Source organism: Homo sapiens, chromosome 13 (genome assembly GCF_000001405.40).
Source record: "Homo sapiens chromosome 13, GRCh38.p14 Primary Assembly".
In the NCBI taxonomy this organism is placed as follows: Eukaryota; Metazoa; Chordata; class Mammalia; order Primates; family Hominidae; genus Homo; species Homo sapiens.
In genome coordinates this window covers 114,136,333-114,162,857 of record NC_000013.11, presented here as the reverse complement: position 1 = coordinate 114,162,857, position 26,525 = coordinate 114,136,333, and the positions used below count along the sequence as shown (strand labels likewise).

Here is a 26,525-nt window from a genome sequence, read left to right as displayed (position 1 = left end):
GCATGGCCGTTGCTTGCTAAGACCCAGCATATGCAGTAGCCTCAGACAGAAATCCAGTCGCTCTGGTGAGTAGCCACCCATCGCTCGTCACACTCTCCCGAGACTCTGGCGAGTAGTCACATATCGTGCATCACACTGGTTTTGAAAAAGGACCCGAGCGTCTCTCCTGAGATCCCTGCACTCTTCCCTGGCGGCCGTCACTTCACCAACAGTGAGCTAAGTTCGTGACGCTTGTTTCTCTCAGGACAAAGCAGAGATTTAGGTGTCGGAAAAGCACTGCAGGCACCTTATCCCTGGACCAGAGACTCCCTTGGTCTGCTTTGTTTTTAAAGTAGAAACGGTCATTGTCAAAATGGCCCTCAGGCACAATATTTACACAGCAGAGACCCAGTCGCAGCCGCCTCACACCGAGGTCAAGGGGCAGAGACAGCAGGAACCGTGAGCTCTGGTTCCTGAGCCAGTGTCTCCTCCCTCTACCGAAGCCCTCGTGTTTGCACTCTCTTGACGAAACACCGAGCTATTTAAGTGGGAATAATATAGTTCCTTCTGTAGACAGCACAGCTGATGCCGTGGTCAAGGACAAAAATGTTAAAAGGTTTGGCCTTTAGTCGAGGACGGGCAGTTGTTGCTTTCCTGGAGGTAGCTGGACGCAGGCGGGTTTTCCTCCCGTGAGGAGCACAGCAGCCTGGGCGGGTGAGGAGGAGCCAGGCTGGGCAGGGCGGCTGTGGGTTCTCGACTTCCTCCTCCTATTCCGGGTGCCAGGAGCTGTTTACTGCCCTGTGAGAGCTTCCTGACAGCAGCTTCACTGGCCCCCTTCCAATCGAGTTCCTGCCCTCTCATCTTTGTGGAGACCACGCTGACTATGATTTCCGAAAATTTACTTGTTCTCTGCCAAATCCAAGGATTCCCACTCCCTCCCACCCATACCCTCGCTTTGCTTCTTCCCGGCTCTGCACACTCCCCAACTTGCTTCTGCACCAGGGGCCCCTCTGGGGAAAAGCAGATGTCCCTTGAGCTAAAGAAGTTGCAGTTCACCCAGGCTGGGCTGTCCTGGAGGTTGTGGGCACGTGAGCGTGGGAGGGGTCGTGTGTTCCTCCACGCTCACCCAGAGCAGCCCCCTCTCGGCTTCGTGTAATATGCTGGTGTCATACATACTTAGGTCTGTTGGAAGAAAATGTCCCAGGACTCACATAAATGATAAAAACCGTCGTTCCAGGCAGCCCATGGCTGGCATCTTGAGTGCCAATAACGTGCTCCCTGAAGCTTTCCCTGGTGGACACGAAGCAGCACTTCGCTCGTGATGGCTGATTGAAAACATGCCGGTGAACTGGACGACGGTGAGCACGACCCCCGCCCCCCGCCGCTGTGGCCGCCGCGGGGAAGCCTGCGCGTGAGTGGGACACACTTTGCCCTTCGTATTCTGAGGACAGAGGTTTGGCGTGTTAGCGAGGCCGCCAGAGTTTCACTCACACCGCGAGGCGTTCTCTAGTTAGAGGCGAGAGGGCACGACCGGAAGCGGAAGCCGCGTGACTGGGGGGGCGGCGCCGTGCCCGCCTTGGGAAGCTCGCTTCCGGTGAGCAGAGGGATGGAAGAACGCGTGCGTTTAACGTGGCTTCTGCTGGCTCCGCATGAAACGGGTTTCCGAACAAACCATACTGGGTCCCTGCCACATGTGCGTTGACCTCATTGGAGGCGAACCTTTGCTCAGGAAACTGATTCACCCAGTGGGTGACAATCAGGAGGGGCACGGAGGGCCAACGTGAGCGTTCTCACAAGCTGGGGACGAATGACGAGGCAGTGGAACAATTGCGGGATGAGGGGGGGTCACGGTGAGTCCTGCTTTGAAAATGAGTCAGGAGTAGATACAACATTTGTAAAGATGACCTGCTACCAAAAGGCCTTTGGTAAAATTCAACATCCTTTCATGTTAAAAACTCTCAATAAGCTAGGTATTGATGGAACATACCTCAAAAGAATAAAAGCCATTTATGACAAACCCACAGCCAATAACATACTGAATGGGCAAAAGCTGGAATCGTTCCCTTGAAAACTGGCACAAGACAAGGATGCCCTCTCGCACCACTCCTATTCAACACAGTATTGGAAGTTCTGCCCAGGGCAATCAGGCAAGAGAAAGAAATAAAGGTTATTCAAATAGGAAGAGAGCAAGTCAGACTGTCTCTGCAGATGATATGATCCTATATCTAGAAAACCCCATCATCTCAGCCCCAAATCTCCTTAAGCTGATAAGCAACTTCATCAAAGTCTCAGGATACAAAATCAATGTGCAGAAACTGCAAGCATTCCTATACACCAATAATAGACAAGCAGAGAGCCAAATCATGAATGAATTTCCATTCACAATTGCTGCGAAGACAATAAAATACCTAGGAATACAGCTAACAAGGGAAGTGAATGACCTCTTCAAGGAGAACTACAAACCACTGTTCAAGGAAATCAGAGAGGACACAAACAAATGGAAACACACTGCATGGTCATGAACAGGAAGAATCAATGTTGTGAAAATGGCCATATTGCCTACAGTAATTTATAGATTCAATGCAATTCCCTTTAAACTACCATTGACGTTCTTCACAGAATTAGAAAAAACTACTTTAAAATTCATATGGGACCAAAAAAGAGCCGATATAGCCAAGACAATCCTAAGGAAAAAGAACGAAGCTGGATGCTTCAGTTACCTGACCTCAGACAAGGCTGCAGTAACCAAAACAGCATGGCACTGGCACAAAAACAGACACATAGACCAATGGAACAGAATAAAGAACTCAGAACTAAGACCACACATCTTCAGCCATCTGATCTTTGACAAACTTGACTAAAACATGCAATGGGGAAAGGATTTCCTGTCTAATAAATGGTGCCAGGAAAACTGGCTAGCCACATCCAGAAAATTGAAACTGGACCCCTTTCTTACACCTTATATTAAAATCAATTCAAGATGGATTAAAGACTTAAATGTAAAACTCCAAACTATAAAAACCCTAGAAGAAAATCTCAGCAATACCATTCAGGACACAGTCACGGGCAAATATTTCATGATGAAATCACCAAAAGCAATTGTAACAAAAGCAAAAATTGACAAATGGGACCTAATTAAACTAAAGAGCTTCTGCACAGCAAAAGAAACTGTCATCAGAGTGAACAGGCAACCTACAGAATGGGAGAAAATTTTTGCAAACTCTCCATCTGACAGAGGTCTAATATCCAGAATCTACAAGGAACTTAAACAAATTTATAAGAAAAAAACCCAACAACCTTGTTGTTAAAAAGTTGGCAAAGGACATGAACAGACACTTCTCAAAAGAAGACATACATGTGGCCAACAAGCATAGGAGAAACAGCTCAACATCGCTGATCATTAGAGAAATGCAAATCAAAACCACAATGAGAAACCATCTCACGCCAGCCAGAATGGAGATTATTAAAAACTCAAGAAACAACGGATGCTGGTGAGGCTGTAGAGAAATAGAAATGCTTTTACACTGTTGGTGGGAGTGTAAATTAGTTCAACCATTGTGGAAGACAGTGTGGTGATTCCTCAAAGATCTGGAACCAGAAATACCATTTGGCTCAGCAATCTCATTACTGGGTGTATACCCAAAGGATTATAAATCATTCTATTATAAAGATACACGTATGCGTATGTTCATTGTAGCATTATTCACAATAGCAAAGACATGGAATCAACCCAAATGCCCATCAATGATAGACTGGACAAAGAAAACGTGGCACATATACCCCATGGAATACTACGCAGCCATAAAAAGGAATGCGATCATGTCTTTGCAGGGACATGGATGGAGCTGGAAGCCGTTATCCTCTGCAAACTAACACAGGAACAGAAAACCAAACACTGCGTGTTCTCACTTATAAGTGAGAGCTGAACAATGAGAACACATGGACACAGGGAGGGGAACAACACACACCGGGGCCTGTCGTGGGGTTGGGGGGCGGGAGAGCATCAGGAAAAATAAGATAATGTATGCTGGACTTAATATCTAGGTGAAGGGTTGATCTGTGCAGCAAATCACCATGGCACACGTTTACCTATGCAACAAGGCTGCACGTCCTGCACATGTATCCCAGAACTTAAAATAAAATAAAATGAAATTAAAGAAAAAAAAAGATGATCTGCTACATAATGCCTTTCACAAGAATGCGACCAGGGATGAATTTACCCCCTGTGCTCAGCGTGACTGAAGTTCTTAGGAGAGCAATAGTCTAATGTTCACCTCCACATTTTACAGACGTTGAGAACACCACGCACGGGGTCTTTGGAAGTGCTGGAATGCCCCCAGATGTCTAAGCACTCTGTCCTGTCCTGAACTCCCGCTAAGTGGAGGGCAGTTGCTGCTGGGCACCCTGAATGCAGGGCCTCCCTCCTCTTCAGGCCCAGTTGGATTGAAACAAAGTCCAAGGAGAAACGTGTAGCCCCAAAGAGAACAGGAATAGAGGTGCTGGCAGATGAGAATGGCCAATGATTTCCAAAGGTGGAAGGGGATGCAAGGGTGTGGGCGGTGGGGCAGGGTGAAGGCGCCCAGCCAGAGATGCTCAGAGATCAATGGTGGAGGCCAGGGTCATCTTGCTGAGGGATCCCAGAGTGGCACTGAGCTGGGAGGTCAAAGGGAGATAGATGTGGGGCTGAAAACGGGGTGGGGGCTGGTAATTCCAGTTGCCTGTGAACAAGTGCCTGGCAGTAGTCACCTCTGCAACCCGTGCCTGCGTCTGTATCCCGCCAAGAAGCCAGCAGGTTCCCAGGCAGCGTCAGAAGATTCTTATTCACGGCCCTGGAGTCAGCATCCTGGGTGTGGCCACAGCTTGCAGCCTGGGTCTAGGGCCCCAGGGTAAAATCTTTTTTTTTTTTAATTATACTTTAAGTTTTAGGGTACATGTGCACAACGTGCAGGTTTGTTACATATGTATACATGTGCCATGTTGGTGTGCTGCACCCATTAACTCGTCATTTACATTAGGTATATCTCCTAATGCTATCCCTCCCCCCAACCCCACAACAGGCCCCGTGTGTGATGTTCCCCTTCCTGTGTCCATGTGTTCTCATTGTTCAATTCCCACCTATGAGTGAGAACATGCAGTGTTTGGTTTTTTGTCCTTGCGATAGTTTGCTGAGAATGATGGTTTCCAGCTTCATCCATGTCCCTACAAAGGACATGCACTCATCATTTTTTCATGGCTGCACAGTATTCCATGGTGTATATGTGCCTTATTCTAGTGTGGATTGCAGTGTTTCGGGGGAAGGGAGAGATGCTAGCCTGCTGCCTGCTCCTCACCCATCTGTCCTAAATAAAGCACAGCCACGCCCCGTCTGTGGATTCCCTCCCAGCTCACCTTTCCACCCCCAGCTACCTTTCCACCCCTAGCTCACCTTTCCACCTGGAGGACCCCACGGAAAACCCACAGTATCCCATCTAAATGAGCCACTGGTTCTTAGACACAGGTGAGCAGGCTTCTCCAGACTTTCCATAGAAACCAGCGACAGAGGGGGAGGATCCACAAAGGTGACAGCTGGCTGGGCGTGGTGGCTCATGCCTGTAATCCCAGCACTTTGGGAGGCCGAGGTGGGTGGATTGAGAGTTCGGGAGTTCACGACCAGCCTGGCCAACATGGAGAAACCCCGTCTCTACTAAAAATACAAAATTAGCCGGGCATGGTGGTGCATGCCTGTAATCCCAGCTACTCGGGAGGCTGAGGCAGGAGAATCGCTTGAACCCGGGAGGCGGAGGTTGCGGTGAGCTGAGACCGCACCATTGCACTCCAGCCTGGGCACTCCAGCCTGGGCAACAAGAGTGAAACTCCGTCTCAAAAAAAAAAAAAAAAAGGTGACAGCTGACCTCAGAGAAAACAGCTAAGTGGGAAAACAAAAAATGAAGTTAAAGATCTAATTACTGTCCTCAGAATATTCAAGAAAATACGCATATAGGTAACATAAGAACAGAATACTAGTTAAGAACAGGCAGAGAGCAGGAAAGATGTTTAAAATATGATTTCTGAACTGAAAATCCCACGAAAGAGATGGACTTCAGGGTCCAGTGAGGTTTCCAGAATATGCCTCAAAAAGACAGATGGAGAATTCTCAAGGAGAGATTAAAGTCCTGGACCATGCGCTGAGGAAATGCCAGGCGAATAGGCTTCAGAGAAGAGAAGGGAGGCAGGACGCTTCCTCCACAGAGGAAACTTTCCGGAGCAGAAGGACAGGGCAGAGGCTGGTGGGGAGGTGGGGGCAAGCAAGGAGACCCAGGACAGGGGACCGAAAGGACACTTCCTCTCCTCTTCTGGGGAGAAAAACAATCAAAAGGAGAAAGAGAAACAGAAACACATTCCAGTTACCTTGACACCAGGACTGGGAAGGGCGAGGGTGAAGGTCGGGGAGCCCAGAGGAGGTGCACACCCCACGCCCAGCACCCACCCCATCCACGCCCAGCACCCACCCTTCCCCACCCCTCCCCACGCCCCAGCACCCACCCTTCCCCACCCCTCCCCCCCCACGCCCAGCACCCACCCTTCCCCACCCCTCCACCCCCACGCCCAGCACCCACCCCATCCACGCCCAGCACCCACCCTTCCCCACCCCTCCCCCCCCACGCCCAGCACCCACCCTTCCCCACCCCTCCACCCCCACACCCAGCACCCACCCCTCTACCCTCACATCCGGCATCCACCTCACCCACCCCACCCACCCCTCCACCCCCAGGCCCGGCACCCACCCTCACATCTGGCATCCACCCCACCCACCCCTCCAAACCCAGGCCCAGCACCCACCCCACCCATCCCTCCACCCCCACGCCCAGCACCCACCCTTCCCCACCCCTCCACCCCCACGCCTGGCACCCACCCTTCCCCACCCCTCCACCCCCACACCCAGCACCCACCCCACCCATCCTCCACCCCATGCCCAGCACCCAACCCACCCTCCCTCCACCACCAGGCCCCGCACCCACCACACCCACCCTCCACCCCCAGGCTTGGCACCCACCCCCCCTCCCCCACGCCCAGCACCTCCCCTTCCCTCACCCCTCCCTCCCAACCCTCTGCACCCCACCCCTCCCCACCCCTCCACCTCCACGCCCAGCACCCACTCCTCCCCACTTCTCCACCCTCATGCCCGGCCCCCACCCCTCCCCACCCTCCACCCCCACACTCAGCACCCACCCCTCCCCACCCCTTCATCCTCATGCCTGGCCCCCACCCCTCCCCACTGTCCACCCGTATGCCCAGCACCCACCCTCCCCACCCCTCCACCCTCACACCGTGCATCCCACACCTTCCCCCTCCAGGTAACACCCTACACCCCTACACCCCACCACTGGCCCTAATCTTCCATCCCCATGCCCCACACCTCCACTTTCCCCTTAGCCCCTCACCCTCATGCCCTGCACCCCATACCCCACTGCTCCCACAGCCTTCCACCCCATGCCCCACACCTCTACCCTGCCCAAAGCCCCCACCCTCACCCTCACACCCCACCCCTCCTCATAGCCCCCACCCTTACATCAAACTCCCCCTACATTCCACCCTTCCCTAACCCCCCACCCCGTGCCCCACACCTCCACACCCCACTCCTCCCCTGAGTCCCCCACTTCCACACCCCACAGTCGCACACACTACCGGTCTCCCAGCCTTCCACCCTCACACCTTGCACCTGCGCACCCTCCCCCTCCCCCAGGCCCCACCATCATGCCCCCACACCTACACCCTCTAACTCGACCTTCTAACTCCCTGAGCTCCCACACTCTGCATCCCACACCCCACACCCCACCCACCCCGTTAGCCCCCACTGTCCCATGTCTCATGACCCACACCCCACACCCTCACAGCCCCCTCCACCCCCAACGCCCCACTACAGCCCCCCACTCACCATAACTCCACACCCCACCCCTGCATCCCCCATCCCCACCCCTGCATCCCCCATCCCCCACCACTTTGCCCCATGTTCCCAACCTCCCCAATCTCCCCCATGCCCCACACCTTAACCCCCTACCCTTATACTCTACCTGCACATCCAGCACCCAACCCCAACTGCAATCCCCTACACACCTTCCACGGCCACTCCGCACCCCCACACCTCACGGGCCTCCACACTCCTCAGAGCAACTGGAGCCTTGGGCCTCAGTGGTGGAAAGAGGAGGGTGAGCCTCAGCAGCTGCAGGAAGTAGCAGCCTCCTGGGACAGCTCATCTAAGGAGGACAGGCCCCCTTAACCAGAGAAGCCCCACAGGGTCTAGACACAGACAGAGTAAGGCTTTTTTTTTTTGAGACAGAGTCTTGCTCTGTCACCCAGGCTGGAATGCAATGGCGCGATCTCGGCTCGGCTCACTGCAACTTTCACCTCCCGGGTTCAAGCGATTCTCCTGCCTCAGCCTCTTGAGAGTAAGGCACTTTTTAACAAGGGAAAGGGGCTGAGCGTGGGGCGGCGCTTGCAATCCTAGCACTTTGAAGGCCTAGGCGGGAGGTGCTTGAGCTTGGGAGTTGGAGGTGACAGTGAGCTAGGATCACACCATGGCACAGACAAACCAACAGACAAAAAACGGGAAAGGCACAAATGAAACGATGAGAGCAGCAGAGAAGTGTGGCCACAAGGGGAAGGAAAACTGAGCAAACGTATCTCCTGGAACAAAAACATCAACCTTCCAAATCAAGACACACCCACAGTGGAACACAGAATGCTTAGTGAAATTTTTAAAAGAGGATTGGTTAGAAACTATAACATGAAATATGACAAAACCAAGGGCCACTGCATCCTTCCTCTCAGTCTACATAAGTAAATAAATTCGACTCACCTCTTCAACAAAAAGACTCGTGGGATCATTCGCAAAGTGAAACCCAACTTTACGTTGTGTGCAAGAAACAAGCAGAAAACACAGCAGCCCAGACCTTCCAAGGCAGAGGTCGAGGCGTGCAGGCAGGTCCTGAGAAAATGTCAACAGGCATGGAGATGATGGAGTGATGGAGATGATGGAGATGATGGAATGAGGAGATGATGCAGTGATGGAGATGATGGAGCATGGAGTGATGGAGTGATGGAGACTATGGAGATGATGGAGATGATGGAGTGATGGAGATGATGGAGTATGGAGTGATGGAGTGATGGAGACTATGGAGATGATGGAGATGATGGTGTGATGGAATGATGGAGATGATGGAGATGATGGAATGATGGAGATGGTGATGATGGAGTATGGAGTGATGGAGATGAGGGAGATGATGGAGTGATGGAGTGATGGAGAGATGGAGATGATGGAGATGGTGGAGTGATGCAGTGATGGAGATGGTGGAGTGATGTAGTGATGGAGATGATGGAGGGATGTAGTGGTGGAGATGGTGGAGTGATGCCTCTAGGCTCTCGGCAAAATCTGCTTTTATCCTGGACCCTAAATTAAGTGTGTGGGAATAATAAAGATATTTTTAGACTCATACGGACTCAGAAAGTTTAGGCCCTGTATGATTTCTTCAGAGCAAGTTGGCTGAATTCTCACTATCGTAGTCGGAAGTCTGGCACAGACTCTATCTAAAATTAGTGAGTAGAGAGTGTTGTAATAACAGGAGGAGGTTGGAAATGCCTGACCAGAGGAAATAGTCGTCGTGGTTGCCATGCGGGCGGACGGGGAGATGGTTGAGGCCACCACTGCCGCCTCCCAGCACAAGCCCTCAGCGTTTTTAACCAAATGCACATGTTGTGCTTTCAATGTTGCTTTCAGCAGGAAGGCACATGGAGCTTTCTGAGTACTGACCCCGTCCCCCTCACACTTGCCTTTTGTTCTCTGAGCTGCCGGCCTCAGGCAGTCCGCGTCTTGTTTGAGTAAGGGAGGCTGCCCCGTTCCTGCTACAAGCGTCCCTTGCCGGCATTGCTGCTGCCCGTGTGACTTCCTGACTGGACATTTGCCACTGGCAGCAAGAAGCCCAGGCCCCTCCGATTCTGCTCCAATTAGGCCCAACCTGAGGGGCCTGACCGGAGCCCCATTTCCCCGTTGTGTCTTGACCAAAAGAATACCAGGTGGGCCATTACTTGCTTTCCAACAAACAGGTGGTGAGGAAAAAAACTTTTCCTTCACTCACTTATGTTTTTTAGTGACTGGAGTCCTGCAAATTGAACTGGCAAAAGTAGATTAACAGGAGAAAAAGCGTTACTTCATATGCATGTGGCGGCTTCACGAAATGAGACAAAAACCCCGCAGAGGCAGTCAGACCAGAGGCTTATTCACGATTTTAACAAAAGGCAATACATTTGTGAAGTGATGAGCTACAGGAAAACAGTGTTGGGTTCCTAGGGAGGTAAACTGTGAGCGGGGAATGGTGTGAGGAAACCACGGAAGCTGGGATTATTTTTGTGCGGGTCCTTGAGTGGAGCTCTCCCAGTCAGGTGAGGGTGGTGTCTCCAAGCACAGCAGGCACTGTGGCGCCGGGGAAAGAGCTGGAGCCTAGGACTGTCACACCTATCACCCGTGGGACAACAGTTATGTGTAGACTTGGGACTGGGGGACAGGTTCAAACCATGGTCTGCTACTTGCTGGTGACATCTCCTTAGGCAAAATCCTTAAATTCTCTGTAGAAAACAGCTCTAGCAATAGCATCCATTTCATGGGGTTACAGAAGAATTGAACGACTTAATAAACGCTAAGCACCTGACCGTGCCTGGTGTGCAGCTAGCTGTCACCACGTGAAGTGCTTAGCACAGCACTGGACAGGACCCTGGATGGAGGGCAGCGTGGCCGTGTTTGCTAGGGCTGCATTGACAGTCGTCAGCTGGGCGCTGCCTGCTTCAGCACAGACGATGCCGTTCCTCAAGGCGGTTTTATGCCTCTTCTTCAGAGTCAGTAGCACGTTCTCTAAAATATCCTTAAATATGGCAAATCTTTGTCTTTAAAGGTAAACTTGAATTTTATTTTTCAATACAGACCAAAGTAATTTGGAATCAAGTATTTTACAGGAAGTGAGTGATTCAGGTAGGCAGTGACACTGACCCAGAAGTCAAAGCGCCGCCTGGCTGTTGCAGCAATACCGGGCGGTGCCTAGGCTCATTCACTCGGCCCTGCTACCTACTTGGAAGAGCGCCCGGGCAACCGCCTACAGTCTCGCAGCTGTAACCTCCTCATCTGTCGAATGCAGAGGACAACACTTCATACCTCACAGGGTGATCTGTTCTGTTGGTTCACCTCGGAACTGAGGGGCTTCCTTGGACACTAACACTGGACGGTCGGGGGCAAACCGTGCAGTTGCCCCCCTAGAATTAGATGATCCGTGTGCACGTGGCACTGGTGAGTGCTCTGGAAATAGCTTTTCTTATTTCTTAAAAGTTGTTTTTAAAGATAGTTCAGAAACAATGAGTGTTTTGTTGAAATGGTGAGTTTGTGATGGTGCCCAGACTTGCCTCCATACACCGAGCCTGCATGGCCCTTCCCCTGTGACCGCTGGGCCTGGACACACGGTGCAGCTTGACCAAGGGGACAAAAGCAGCCCTGACACCAGCAGAAACTTGGGAAGTGCTTGAAAGGCATTGGACGTCCCCGCTGTTGCGGTGGGAACCTTCTGCTGCCAAGTGGGCAGGCCGAGTTGGCCTCCTGAGAATGAGGGAGTGAATGACAGAGACCTCAGGTGCCTCGGAGGCCATGTCTCTGCCAAGGCCTTGCACGTGTGAGTGAGGCCCTCTTCCACCCCAGCCCAGCCCAGGAGTCTCAGCCCCGAGAACCTTCCAGCCAACCCTCAGAATTTCGGGAAATGATGCTGCTTCCTTTACACCACTAGGCTGGTGGTGGTTTGTTATGTAACCAATTGAGAGATCTTTAAAAAGTTAATAAATAAAGCTAAAGTTCTTCAGTGCATACAATCCAGAAGGGGAATTGGTTCTGTATGTTGATGGTGGAAAGGAACACAGCACTGTGTAGAATTTGGAGCCAAGACCTAAAGAAGCAAAGCCTATAAAATTCATCTTTGGCTCCAGGCATAAAATGGTCTCTCAAAGTTTTAGGGTTTTGTTTGTGTGTTTTGCTTTTTGAATGACTACTCTTTGAAAATTCTTCTCTAAGAGAGAGAAAACTTAATATAAAAATTCCAGATTAGGTGTTGGGGACTCATTTGTTATCTTCTCTTGTGCACATACATCTCGAAGGAAGAAGTCTGCAATAAAAATACAAAGTTCAGCACAATTAATGTCAGCAGTTTTTCTCCACCGTAGGATTAATAAAGGATCCAGGTAAGTGGTTCTCAAAGTGTGGTCCCCAGGTGAGGTCCCCAGGTGTGATCCCCAGGTGAGGTCCCCAGGTGAGGTCCCCAGGTGAGGTGACCGTCCCACTTTGCCCTAGGGCTGCTCCAGCTTCAACGCTGAAAGTCCCAGGTCACAGGAACCCTCCTTTGCCCCTGGCAGACTGAGGGGCTATCACCCTATTCTGGGACCAACAGTAAAGCATCACTTGGGAAGTGGATGAAGTGTGAATTCTGGGCCCCACCATAGACCTGCTTAACAGGATCTCTGGCGGTTAGGGTTAGGGTCAGGTCTGCTGGGCAGTGATAATGCAGCTAAGGGCGGGGTCCTGGGTCCAGGTTTAATCTGGGAAGGGTCTGGGAGGGACTGGGTTTAACAGAAGCACCCAGGTGCCAAGCACTGGGGCAGAGCTGGAATCCCGTCAGACGGTGGGCAGACCTGCAGCCGACCACCACTCTCTGCCGAGGGGAGGGGTCCTGACAGTGCCGTGTCCACCAGACTCGAGAGTGGGGAGTCTGGTAGCTCCAGGGGAAGACTTTCCAGGATTCTCCTTTCACTTCAGGTGTGGCTAGTGTTTCCAGCAGGTGGCACATGCTAATTGTCCCTGTTGGAAAATTCTGAGTCAAGCCAGTGGTTGAAGTGGGTCCTGGAATACCAGGTGTGATATATTTGCAAAACACTTGTGGTCAAATTATGCCATCAGCAGTGGTGAAGGGAAACTTGTAATTGTAATAAATTAGCACTTGAGTGTAGTCCCATCATTGGAAAGAGCATGGCCTTCAGCCCCAGTAACACTGAGATTGGTAAGCAGATGTCTTTTGAGGAAAAAAAATAAAACAGTATTCTGAAATCCAACACCTGTTTATTTAATCACATTTTCACATTTACTGTGCTTTCTAGATGATTTGCCAAGGTTGTCTGGTCCTGGTAAAAAATGTATGAAATGCCTCCACCTGAACAGAGAAGAAAATGTGATCCCAATGAGAACTGTCTGCAGCATCACACTCACCGCTGTGTCTGAGAACAGGATTTTCCATTTCGGCAGTGGATCTAAACCTGATGCCCAGGACCTGTTTTAAGCAGTGAATCAAAGATCACAGAAGTTAAAGTTTGGCAAGTTTTCGACGTCAAGGAGATGGAAAGCCTAAAATCAGTTTCTGAACCACTAAATTAGAGGGAACAGCCTTGCTCGTGAATTTTCCAGAATTCCACAAACAATTAAGAAGACCCAGGGTAGGAAGCACATACAATTTGTTTTCTTTGATGGTTAAGTTGGTTTAAGGCACAGAGTTGAGAAGACAGGTAAGAAGAAGCAACTGTTCAAGCCCCAAGGAGAACCCAGAACCGACCCAGCCCCCGAGGAGAACCCAGAACCGACCCAGCCCCCGAGGAGATCCCAGAACCGACCCAGCCCCCGAGGAGAACCCACAACCGACCCAGCCCCCGTGGAGATCCCAGAACCGACCCAGCCCCCGAGGAGATCCCAGAACCGACCCAGCCCCCGAGGAGATCCCAGAACCGACTCAGCCCCCACGGAGATCCCAGAACCGACCCAGCCTCCGAGGAGAATCCAGGATCCACCCAGCCCCCACGGAGATCCCAGGATCTCCTTGTTTTTTAATCGAAAACTTGTTTTTCTCTCCTGTTTTTAATTTCTTAAGGAGAAAATTTGAGACGAAGACAATGGCCACCTAAATTTGTGTGATACCCTGTTATTTCACAGTTGCCTTACAAGAATAACCGTGTCTCATTTGTCACTTTCTGCTACCTGAGAAACCACTCTGTATGATGTTGACGTGTGACCATGTCCAGGTGCAGCTGACGTAGTCTCAGAGACGTGTCTTTGGAAAAAACAGTACACAACAAATGATTATGAGCCATTCTGAGCATGGTGGTGAGCTGCAGCCAGCAGAACACACCCAGCCCTGCCAGCAAAGGAAGCTTGGTCAACCACAGCAGCCTGTATGGGCTGCGATGGAAACCATGTTGAGTCCCCACCTCACAGTTGAGAAAAGCAACATAATTTCACATGATGCACTAGCCGTGGCGCCTGCTACACACGAGCTCTGGAAACCTCAGCTGCCCTCATCGCTTCCTGCCATTCTGGAAGAAAAGTTAAAATTGGAATTAGCAGTAACACGGGCCTCTCAGAGTTTTGAATAAATAGTGCTGTAACTCATCCTAGTAACTTAACTGGGAACCAGGCATCTCAGCTGGTGTTGCAAAGTCACGCAGGGCTGGGGATCCCCGAGCCCCCTGGGTGAGCTGGGTCTTGCCTATTAGCTCTGTAGACAAGGCAGGTTCCAAAGGGCAGTGCGAATGTGCTTCGAGTTTTACAAAATTCTGTGAGTTCAAAGCCTTTGGATATCTGAGTCTGTCTTAAGAGAGCCTCAAGCTAATATTCACACAATTGTGTGTCTCGGTATACAGTTTAAATGCTGGCATTTAGCTTAGAGAACAAAGAAAACGTGAAGTCAAAGAAGGAACAAAAGCATTATATCCTATCAAAAAATAACCAAATACTATTCAACCATTTTGAAAATTTCTGATTCTGGCATTGGGGAAAGTGGCTGCAGATGACGGTGATGCATGCCCAGCAAGTGGAGGAGGCCGGGGGCAGAATGTTGCCCAGGTGCTGGGTCGGTTCTGGGTTCTCCGTGGGGGCTGGGTCGGTTGTGGGATCTCCTCGGGGGCTGGGTCGGTTCTGGGGTCTCCTCGGGGGCTGGGTCGGTTGTGGGATCTCCTCGGGGGCTGGGTCGGTTCTGGGGTCTCCTCGGGGGCTGGGTCGGTTGTGGGATCTCCTCGGGGGCTGGGTCGGTTGTGGGATCTCCTCGGGGGCTGGGTCGGTTCTGGGATCTCCTCGGGGGCTGGGTCGGTTCTGGGGTCTCCTCGGGGGCTGGGTCGGTTGTGGGATCTCCTCGGGGGCTGGGTCGGTTCTGGGATCTCCTCGGGGGCTGGGTCGGTTCTGGGGTCTCCTCGGGGGCTGGGTCGGTTCTGGGGTCTCCTCGGGGGCTGGGTCGGTTCTGGGATCTCCTCGGGGGCTGGGTCGGTTGTGGGATCTCATTGGGGGCTGGGTCGGTTCTGGGATCTCCTCGGGGGCTGGGTCGGTTCTGGGTTCTCCTCGGGGGCTGGGTCGGTTCTGGGATCTCCTCGGGGGCTGGGTCGGTTCTGGGTTCTCCTCGGGGGCTGGGTCGGTTCTGGGTTCTCCTCGGGGGCTGGGTCGGTTCTGGATTCTCCTTGGGGGCTGGGTCGGTTCAGGATTCTCCTTGGGGCTTGAACAGTTGCTTCTTCTTGCCTGTCTTCTCAACTCTGTGCCTTAAACCAACTTAACCATCAAAGAAAACAAATTGTATGTGCTTCCTACCCTGGGTCTTCTTAATTGTTTGTGGAATTCTGGAAAATTCGCGAGCAAGGCTGTTCCCTCTAATTTAGTGGTTCAGAAACTGATTTTAGGCTTTCCATCTCCTTGACGTCGAAAACTTGCCAAACTTTAACTTCTGTGATCTTTGATTCACTGCTTAAAACAGGTCCTGGGCATCAGGTTTAGATCCACTGCCGAAATGGAAAATCCTGTTCTCAGACACAGCGGTGAGTGTGATGCTGCAGACAGTTCTCATTGGGATCCACCTTGTGATTCTCATTTGGGTCTAATAGCCTTTCTTTTTTTCAGTTCCTTGTTATTAAGTTGCTGTTTGAATGGGCGTGTGGGTAATCTCTGTGTGTGTGTGTTCGTGTGTGTGCAAGGGAGTTCACGCGGGGGGATGTCAGGCCGGCACACAGGAATGGAAAGGCTGCCCACTGGTCTCTGGAGCTGTTGAGGCTTCAGAGCGTCTCTTCCACTGCCGCCCTCCAGGGGCTCCCTCGCAGAGAGCGGAAGGCAAGGGCTGCCTGGGCTGCCATGGGCCATGGCTGAGACTGAGAAGTCTTTCCAGGATGGTAAGTAAAGCAGGTGGGCACGGGGTAGGTGGGCACAGGTGAGCTGACAGCCAGCAGCCCAGGGAGCCCCGAAGTTCAGTCCATATTCTGTCTTCAGATTTGGATTCACTCCCCGTGGTTTAGAAACAGTGCTGTTTGAGGTTAAAAACAAAACAAACAAAAAGCCTGATTTTCAATTCTCAGAATGGATGAGAAGAGTGCCCTATGGAGACTGGACTGTTTTTTCTTCTTAAGTGAATAGCTCAAGGGGAACGTCCAGGTGCCGGCCTTCGGGGGTCTCTGCGCCACTGGAGCGGGGGCTGTTGGGCCTGCGGAGATGCGCGAGTTGGAGTCTGAGGGTGGGTGTGGGTTCCCACCACCACGGGCACCACCATTTCTATCACCAGTTGGAGAAGTCCGTTTACCTGTGGAGCAGATTCTCGAGTATTGGAGGAAACACTGTGGAAGCATCGACCGTTGAATGCAGATTCGTGTTCTGTTTATTACTGCTAAGTGAGATGCAATTAGGAATGAGATATCTTCACCCCACTGAGTCTGGGAGGGTCAATGAGCAGTCACATCAGTGAGCAGGCCAGGTGGTGACGCGTGTTACGTGCGTGTTACTCAGGAAAATAAAGCAGGGCAGATGCAGGTAAGGGCCAGTTATTTGACGTTGTGTAGTCGAGGAAATCTCGCTCGCAGGTGTCCTCAGAGAGAAGCAACACACAGATCCCTGGGGACAGAGCATTGCTGCAGAGGGAATTCCTGCAGAGAGCAAGACAGAGCATTCCTACAGGGGGAATGTGCAAAGGCCCCGGGAAGGGAGAGACCCGTTCTGCTGAAGGGAAAGCAAGAAGGCAGAGGGTTGGAGCCAGGAGGCCTGGAGCTGCTGGGTGACGCCTGAGCCCCCGGGCTCCTGTGTGCACGATGGCGCTTTGTGATTTGTGCCAAGGGGGACAGGAGGACAGTCCAGGGTTTTGGCAGAGAAGTGACATGGCTCCTTGTAAATCTTCACAGGACCAGGATAACATCACAACAGGTAGTTAATTCACCACCACACATTTATAGTCTGAGGTCCTTGGACTGTATGAGCTACAACAATGACAGATAATCCAGGTGAGTGCCTCACAAACCCCTGCTGCCCCAGCTCCCACCCGTGGCATTTAGGCCAAGAAGCCCCATTGGTCCCCAGGGACTCTCCAGCCCCTGCCCTCCTTCCTCCTGCCCGGACCAGCCCATCTGTCACAGGGGGCTCTCTAGCCACCTGCCTCTCTTCCTCTCTGAAGGCTGCATGGAGCTGCTTGTCTTTGTAGCTGAACACTCAGGCCCCTGCTTGGTCATCCAGCCAGTCATGGTGGGAGTGGCAAGAGGAGAGCCTGAGATGATGAGGGGTCAGTGATGCTGTCTTCCGGTCCATGGCTCATTAGAGATACCCTGTAATTTGCAGTGTTCTTTCTCCAGGAGGAACAGAGCCCCTCTAATTATATCTGCTCTTATTGAAACCTGAAAAATGCAGGCAGAGTGATAAGAGAATGAAACTGTGGCTGCACCTTCCTGGCCTCCCTTCAAATATGTAAAGGGTCCTAAGGCGAGCCCTGGCTGGGGGGTCTTGAGCCCATGGCTTCTCCCTCGGTGCCTTTCACAGGTGGTCCAGGGCAAACGCTTGGTGCCCATTCAATTAAAATAGCGAAGGAGATGAGCTACAGCTTCTGCAAGGACGGCGTGGGGCTGTAGCCTCTAGGGCCTTAGTTAGAACCACATGAAAACACGAATGCTGGGGAGTAAAATTGCAGGAAATGAATGCAGGAACAGACATGGCTCGGATGTAGCAGAGGTGGGATCGGGAGTGATTTCGTTCCAATTCCCCGATGCTGCTTTCATAGCTGTTGGGGTTGAGTTTGAGGTGTTGTAGTTGAACCTGTGTTGTAAGGGCGGAAAGCCTCATCAGCCCAGTGACTGCACAGCCACGCGGAAGCCTCCCCAGTCAGAGGCGGCCTTGGAGGGCAGCTCGCTGTTCTCACTCAGTCCTGATTCTCGGCTCTCTCCTGACTCCCCAAGGTTTCTTCAACCAATTTGAAAGGGGCAAATAGGAAGCTCTGAAGGACAAGGCCCCACAAAGACCCCACACCCTGCAAATCCCCCAGGGGCTGTGCAGGAAGGGCACAGCGAGGCCCCCAGGAATCAGCCCAGCCTCTGTGCCTTGGGTCCTGGACCTGGGTGGGCGAGAGTCCACGTGCCCGGAGCCAGAACCTGTCCCCAGCCCTTGACAGAGCCACATCTCAGGGGACCATTCCAGGTGGGGTGACAGTTCCCAGCTGCAGCGCCTGGAAGCCCAGGCTGTGGGCAGACGGTCCTTACCTCTGGGGTGGGCATGAGTCGAGAGGCAGGACCTTGTGGGGTGACAGCTCTGGACCCTGAGTTGGAATGTGCACCACTCCCAGCTGAGTACCCACTGGTCACACGTTGGGCCCCCATGGCCTCCCTTCAGCCTCTTCACAGGAAACACGAAGGTGGCGTGGGCCAGGGAGGGGAGTTGACTTGAATAGGGCATTTCAAACTGCCAGTCACAAGCGAGGCCAAGGTTTAACAAATGACTCAGGAAAAAACGGGGTTGGGGGAGGGCATGAGACACTCCCAGGTGGGAGGAGGTACAGGCAGCGCTCCCTGCGTTCACACTCACCGTGGCTTTGTGACAGGGATGCACTCTGAGAAATACATGGCTGGGCGATTTCTCTGTGCGGGCCTCACAGTGACTTACACACGCCTGGATGGCCGGGCCCCCTGTAGGCCTGGGCTGCAAGGTACAGCCAGCGCTCCTCCGCCACAGACCTGTGTGCAGGCTCCTGTACCGAATGCCACAGGCGACTGCCACACAGTGGTGTATGTGCGTCCAAACACAACTAACCCGGGAGAGGACAGTAAGAATCTGGTGCTACAATCCTGTGGGACCACCCTGCTTGACCAAAACATTGTTATATGGTGCGTGGCTGTATTTCCTCCATATCAAAACATTGTTATATGGTGCGTGGCTGTATTTCCTCCATATCAAAACATTGTTATATGGTGCGTGGCTGTATTTCCTCCATATCAAAACATTGTCATGTGGTGCGTGACTGTATTTCCTCCATAGAACAGATGTCAGCGACCCCAGAGCATGGGTTCGTGCAATTTTATAAACTCTATAAGCCCATCGAATTGAATTTTTAGTAATGGCTCTGTTTAACAACCAGCTTGCAAAATTCCTGAACACGTAATGCTTGGTTGTCCTGAGCTGGCACCTTCGGCACATGCGCACATGCTCTCACACGTCCTCACACACACACACTCCCTCACTTACACTCACACACTGTCGTTCACACATACAAGCACACACATACGTGCACACAGCAGCTGCTCACGGCATCTACTTGAGGGGCCCGACACTCATTTAGAAGCTGAGTACACAAGGTTAGTCTAGGAAGCTAGAACAGAATGTAAAACATCAGGATGTGGCCTGTCTAGTCGGGATAAACATTGTTTATACGTTGGGACACATTTGACTCCTTTCACACCTGGTGCTGGTTGGCTTGGAGAGCAGTGGGGCGCCAGCCAGCTGCCCTGACAGCCACGCCTCCTGGAGGGTGGAGAGAGCCTGGTCTGCAGAAAGCCTGCTTGCTTCCTGAGGGGCACAGACACAGGTGGCCTGAGAGGGAGAAGGTTCTGGAACAGGGGGCCCAGAGGAAAGCCTGCAGCAGGAGCCAGGGTCACGGCGCCCAGCAGCTGCCCTCGCCCTGGCTCGTCCTGCTCCAGGCCAAGCCACCCATCTCGGAGCCGCCGTAAGGCCTCCTGCAGTCAAACCGCGAGGCAGCACCATGCCCACAAGAACTTGAGGTTTCTCCTGGCCTCAACCTTCCTCTCATGACAACAAGGCACCAATTTCCACGAAGGGCTCTGCGCTCAGGGCAGGGCTGGTAAACACGAGGTCACGCCCTTCCTGTGAGGGAGGTTCCAGTTCCCACAGCGGAGGCCTCGGGCAGGTGGGGGCTGCCGCAAGAGCAGGACAGGGCCAGGGAGCTGGTGTCCACTCCCACATAGTCCTCTTGCTTTAAACGGTTCTCTTTTGAGATAATTGCAGATTCACACACAGTCGTAAGGAATAACACGGAGAGTGCCTGTTCCCTTTGCCCAGTTCCCCCAACAGCAGCCCCTTTGCCCAGTTCCCCCAACAGCAGCATCTTGCAAAGCAAGGAGTGGTCACCGATGGGATCAAGTGCCCTGAGGGCGGATGGCACCAGCTGCACATACACTGGGTGTGAGCGTGTGTGTCAGTGTGTGTGTGAGCATGGGGGTGTGTGTGTCAGTGTATGTGTATGGGTGAGTCTGTGTGAGTCTGTCAGTGCGTCTGTGTATATGTGGGTGTGCATGTGTGTGTGTCTGTGTGCATGTGGGTGTGTGAGAGTATCAGTGTGTCTATGTGTATGTGTGCATGTGGGTGCGCATGTGTGTGTCAGTGTCTGTATGTGTGCATGTGGGTATGCTTGTGTGTGTGTGCATGTGGGTGTCCGTGTGTGTGTACCAGTGTGTCTGTGTGCATGTGTGCATGTGGGTGTATTTGTGTGAGGAGCATGAATGTGTGTGAAGGAGGAAGTGCATGAATGTGTGTGCATGTCTGTGTGTGTGCTTGTGTGTGTGAGGGACTGGGAGTGTGTGTGTGAGGGACTGTGTGACCATATGTGCATGTGCGAGTGTGTGCATGTGGGTGTGAGGGAGGGGAGGGTGTGTGAGCATGTATGAGCGTGAGTATGCTTGTGTATGTGTGCATGAGTGAGGGAGTGTGTGTGCATGTGTGTGAGTGCATGTGGGTGAGGGTGTGTGAGGAAGTGTGTGAGGATGTGTGTGAGCATGTGCACGTGTGTGCTTGCATGTGTGAGTGAGGGAGGGTGTGTGTGTGCGAATGAAGGAGGGTGTGGGCATGTGAGGACATGTGTGAGCATGTGTGCATGTGTGTCTGTGAGGGAGGGAGGGTGTGTGCATGTGAGTTTGTATGTGTATGTGTGAGGGAGTGTGTGTGCGTGTGTGAGTGCATGTGAGGGAATTTGTGTGTAAGGTTGTGTGTGAGGGAGGGAGTATGTATGTGCGCATGTGTGTGCACGTGTCATTGAGGGAGTGTGTGTGCGCGCGTATGAGTGAGTGTGTGTGTGCATGTGTGCGCTAGCGTGTGTGAGTGAGGGAGGGTGTGTGCATGTGAGGGAGTGTGTGTGTGAATGAGGGAGTGTGTGTGAGCATGTGTGCATGTGTGCTTACATGTGAGGTAGTGTGTGCGTGTGTGTGTGAGGGAGTGTGCACATGTGAGTGTGTCTAGTTTTGGGCAGTTGTGTCCCATGTGTGTGTGTGAGGGAGTGTGTGTGCATGTGTGTGTGAGGGACGAGCTGGGCAGTTGTGTCCCGTGTGTGTGTGTGTGTGAGTGTGTGTGTGAGTGTGTCTAGAGCTGGGCAGTTGTGCCCTGTATGCAGATCTCTGTGCAGATGCCGGACATTTCCATCCCACGAGCATCTCTCCTGCTCCTTTTCCAGCCACAGCCACCTCCTGCCCCTCCCTGACCCCTGACCGCTGACACCCGCTGCTCTGCTTTCCGTTGCTGTGACTTTGTCAGCTTGAGACTGTCTCCCTTCACTCAGCCCAGTTCCCCTGAGGCTCACCTGCAACACTGTGCACCCGCTCGCTTGCTGCTTTTCACGCAGTTCACTCTTTACCTGCTGAAGGACAGCTTGAAGGTTGCCTCCAGTTTTCTGCCATTACAAATAAATCTGCGGTGAACGTTTGTGTTTTTTATGCATCATGTATTTTGAAGGGCATTTTCCTCACTCTCCTAATCCACAGCCTTCCTTGTGGGTGGGAGGAGGCTGAGCCTGGGCAGACTGCGGGGGCTCCCTGGGGACAGCACCCACACTTCGGCTTCTCTTCTGTGGTCCTGGTGTGGTTTATGTACGTACAAGAGTTAGATCTGCAAATCCACCAGGGGCCCGACACAGTGTGCAGTGCTGGGAGGATGGCAGAGAGGAAAAATGCCTGCCAGTGCTCTCGGGAAAAATAACCACGAGAAAAGCTACCTCTAGCCGACTGTTTCTTATCTGCCAGACACAGGACACACAGCACACGCAGCTTGGTCCCGGCACAGGCCTGCGGGCGGGCACTGCTGCCAGCCCCATTTTACAGACGAAGAAATTGGGAGACAATCTGGGGAGATGAGTTAGCTTCACAGGAAACTATTTGAAGAAATAAAAGTAATTGACGCGGTGGTTCACAACTCCTAAGTATAATGAAAGCAGCCGCGATCGTTGTCACAGTCAAGGTGCCAGGGATTTGTGGGCTGAGGGGCATTCATCAGCACCCACGGCTTCTGCGGGCCTGGGGGCGGGGGCGTGAGCGTCTCCCTCTGCTCTCCTGCCCTGCCCTGCACAACCTGGTGAATTTCCTGTCCCACCCGCTGCCCCACCCCTCCCTGAAGCAGGGAGGTTGGCAACTGAGCTTGTGAGGCTCAAGGGTACCTAGGATGGGCCACTCGGAGGGGAGGCAGCTCTCCTCGGCCATCACAGCCAGAAAGTGGGCTTTGAGTGTTCCGTGCGGTGCTGCCACCGTGTCTACACCCACCTCCACCGTGTCTACACCCACCACCGTGTCTACACCCACCTCCACCGTGTCTACACTCACCGCCACCGTGTCTACACCCACCGCCACCGTGTCTACACCCACCACCGTGTCTACACCCACCTCCACCGTGTCTACACCCACCACCCTGTCTACACCCACCTCCACCATGTCTACACCCACCGCCGTGTCTACACCCACCGCCACTGTGTCTACACCCACCACCGTGTCTACACCCACCTCCACCGTGTCTACACCCACCATCGTGTCTACACCCACCACCGTGTCTACACCCACCGCCACCGTGTCTACACCCACCACCGTGTCTACACCCACCTCCACCGTGTCTACACCCACCTCCACCGTGTCTACACCCACCACCCTGTCTACACCCACCTCCACCATGTCTACACCCACCGCCGTGTCTACACCCACCACCGTGTCTACACCCACCTCTGCCGTGTCTACACTCACCTCCGCCGTGTCTACACCCACCACCATGTCTAAAACCACCTCCACTGTGTCTACACCCACCGCCACCGTGTCTACACCCACCACCACCGTGTCTACACCCACCACCATGTCTACACCCACCTCCACCGTGTCTACACCCACCGCCGTGTCTACACCCACCTCCACCGTGTCTACACCCACCTCCGCCATGTCTACACCCACCACCACCGTGTCTACACCCAACTCCACCTTGTCTACACCCACCACCCTGTCTACATCCACCTCCACCGTGTCTACACCCACCACCACCGTGTCTACACCCACCACCGTGTCTACACCCACCACCACCGTGTCTACACCCACCACCACCGTGTCTACACCCAACTCCACCTTGTCTACACCCACCACCCTGTCTACATCCACCTCCACCGTGTCTACACCCACCACCACCGTGTCTACACCCACCACCGTGTCTACACCCACCGCCACCGTGTCTACACCCACCGCCACCGTGTCTACACCCACCACCGTGTCTACACCCACCTCCACCGTGTCTAAACCCACCTCCATGTCTACACCCACCTCCACCGTGTCTACACCCACCGCCGTGTCTAAACCCACCTCCACCGTGTCTACACCCACCACCACTGTGTCTACACCCACCACCGTGTCTACACCCACCTCCGCCGTGTCTACACCCACCACCGCTGTGTCTACACCCACCACCGTGTCTACACCCACCTCCGCCGTGTCTACACCCACCTCCGCCGTGTCTACACCCACCACCACCGTGTCTACACCCACCACCGCCGTGTCTACACCCACCACCGTGTCTAAACCCACCACCGTGTCTACACCCACCTCCACCGCGTCTACACCCACCGCCACCGTGTCTACACCCACCGCCGTGTCTACACCCACCTCCACCGTGTCTACACCCACCACCACTGTGTCTACACCCACCACCGTGTCTAAACCCACCACCGTGTCTACACCCACCTCCACCGCGTCTACACCCACCGCCACCGTGTCTACACCCACCACCGTGTCTACACCCACCTCCACCGTGTCTACACCCACCACCGTGTCTACACCCACCACCGTGTCTAAACCCACCTCCACCGTGTCTACACCCACCGCCACCGTGTCTACACCCACCACCGTGTCTACACCCACCTCCACCGTGTCTACACCCACCACCGTGTCTACACCCACCACCGTGTCTAAACCCACCTCCACCGTGTCTACACCCACCACCACCGTGTCTACACCCACCACCGTGTCTACACCCACCTCCACCGTGTCTACACCCACCGCCGTGTCTACACCCACCACCGTGTCTACACCCACCTCCACCGTGTCTACACCCACCTCCACCATGTCTACACCCACCACCGTGTCTACACCCACTTCCACCGTGTCTACACCCACCTCCACCGTGTCTACACCCACCGCCACCGTGTCTACACCCACTGCTGTCTGCTTCATGACTCGGGGGTCTAGGCTGCTTCTTTCCTCTCTCTCTGCATTTCAAGAAGATGAGAGCGAGACCATGATGCTCCGTGGTAAGGCCCACCTGAGCCTCCGACTGTAGTTGATAAACCCAGCACAGCATTGCGTCTCCTGTCCATCAACAACACAGACCACCAGGCCTCGGCATCCACAGGAATCTTGGAGTGGACCTGTCTGCTTCTCTCAGTTGTGTGGCTCAACTAATGTTTGAGAAAGACTCTTCGGTGGCTATTTATTCATCTCTCTAGATTCTCCAAATGTGTTCTTTCGCAGCTCATCAGGTCACTAGAAAGCTACTTTCTTTGACTTCTAAGTGCCTACATAAATTTTATGCGAGAATTATGATTTAATGTTATATTTTTACTACATTCATTCAACAAACATTCATTGAGCATTTACCATGTTCTAGGCCCTGTAGTGAGTGTCATTTGAGATTAAAAACATCCTCCCCTAACTTGTCCAATATTCCTTTTGAAAAGAATTCCCTAAAAAATTTCTTGTATTGCCTTGTGGGCTAAAGTACTGTCTTTCCTGAAAGTCTGACATGCTTCCTTTTATCAGATAATGTGACTTGTGTAAGATTCATATTTCCATATTTCCCTTTTCACCTTGGCTATCCGGAAGCTCAGTGTGTAGCTTTACGTTCAGCTGTTCTCACCTTACATGTGTCAACAAATCCACTAAAAAAATTTCTTTTAAAAGGAAAGAGACAGGCCGGGCGCGGTGGCTCACGCCTGTAACCCCAGTACTTTGGGAGGCTGAGGCGGGCGGATCACCTGAAGTCAGGAGTTCGAGACCATCCTCAACATGGAGAAACCCTGTCTCTACTAAAAATACAAAATTAGCCAGGCATAGTGGTGCATGCCTGTAATCCCAGCTACTCGGGAGGCTGAGGCAGGAGAATTGCTTGAACCTGGGATGCGGAGGTTGTGGTGAGCGCCGAGATTGCGCCATTGCACTCCAGCCTGGGCAACAAGAGCGAAACTCCATCTCAAAAAAAAAAAAAAAAAGGGGAAAGAGACATTATTCCAGCAAGCAGTTTGCAAACTGGGAGATGCTGCCTTTGGAACAAAACAAAGGTGCATTCCAGAGAAGAAACATGCGATTGTCTTCCACAAGGGAATTCCTGCCCAGGATCTCATTCTGGCCTTTATGCAGATAAGGGAGGCAGACTTGCTTCATTCTGTTTGGTAGAGCCTGGTAGCAGTCTATTGGTTTGGTCCAGAGGGCAAATTGGGATTTTCTGGCCTTGGTTGATTCCAGCAGCATGAACAGACAGCTGTGAAATTTCCAGCACTTCCGGGAACGCAGAGCTGGCGTGTGACCTCTAGTGAGCAAAAGGTCGCGTGCCTCCATTTTGAATTCAGGCCCAGTGAGCCCCTTGGGATGCACCTGGCAGGATGGGCTCTTTCAGGTTCAGATACCTGATTCCACCGTTCTTCCTTCAGTTCTTACTTTGAACCCTCCAAAAATTATTCCGTTGTGTACTGGTCATTTATGTGGCTTCAAATCCTTTGAAAGTAGATTGTTCAGACATGATCTAATAATGCTGTTTTGGAAATGAATGAATGTCCACTTGTCAATGGGTTGATATGTGAACAGAAGAGTATATCCAAAGAGAGCAAAGTGTAACACCAAGGTCATTGAAAGAAGAAATTATAGAGATTTTCTATTGGGTCATCATCTGATCCTTTCTTCTCTCAGTATTTTATTTCCCAGCTCATATTATCACAGCTCTAAGAGACAACTTTCTAATTTAGAAAACGAATGACCAAATCCTTCAT

The 26,525-nt window shown here is 52.6% G+C and overlaps 6 annotated features.

Moving 5' to 3' along the window:
• Nucleotides 206-1,106: an enhancer, noted in NCBI's record as "H3K27ac-H3K4me1 hESC enhancer chr13:114927227-114928127 (GRCh37/hg19 assembly coordinates)". NCBI's record gives its function as "activates a minimal SCP1, AML or CMV promoter by ChIP-STARR-seq in primed H9 embryonic stem cells {active_cell/tissue: H9 hESC(primed)}" and the evidence as "EXISTENCE:reporter gene assay evidence [ECO:0000049][PMID:30033119]".
• Nucleotides 11,060-11,560: an enhancer, noted in NCBI's record as "H3K4me1 hESC enhancer chr13:114916773-114917273 (GRCh37/hg19 assembly coordinates)". NCBI's record gives its function as "activates a minimal SCP1, AML or CMV promoter by ChIP-STARR-seq in primed H9 embryonic stem cells {active_cell/tissue: H9 hESC(primed)}" and the evidence as "EXISTENCE:reporter gene assay evidence [ECO:0000049][PMID:30033119]".
• Nucleotides 11,561-12,061: an enhancer, noted in NCBI's record as "H3K4me1 hESC enhancer chr13:114916272-114916772 (GRCh37/hg19 assembly coordinates)". NCBI's record gives its function as "activates a minimal SCP1, AML or CMV promoter by ChIP-STARR-seq in primed H9 embryonic stem cells {active_cell/tissue: H9 hESC(primed)}" and the evidence as "EXISTENCE:reporter gene assay evidence [ECO:0000049][PMID:30033119]".
• Nucleotides 13,969-14,148: an enhancer, noted in NCBI's record as "active region_8059". NCBI's record gives its function as "activates an Ori minimal core promoter by ATAC-STARR-seq in GM12878 lymphoblastoid cells {active_cell/tissue: GM12878}" and the evidence as "EXISTENCE:reporter gene assay evidence [ECO:0000049][PMID:35858748]".
• Nucleotides 14,479-14,538: an enhancer, noted in NCBI's record as "active region_8058". NCBI's record gives its function as "activates an Ori minimal core promoter by ATAC-STARR-seq in GM12878 lymphoblastoid cells {active_cell/tissue: GM12878}" and the evidence as "EXISTENCE:reporter gene assay evidence [ECO:0000049][PMID:35858748]".
• Nucleotides 21,224-22,219: an enhancer, noted in NCBI's record as "H3K27ac-H3K4me1 hESC enhancer chr13:114906114-114907109 (GRCh37/hg19 assembly coordinates)". NCBI's record gives its function as "activates a minimal SCP1, AML or CMV promoter by ChIP-STARR-seq in primed H9 embryonic stem cells {active_cell/tissue: H9 hESC(primed)}" and the evidence as "EXISTENCE:reporter gene assay evidence [ECO:0000049][PMID:30033119]".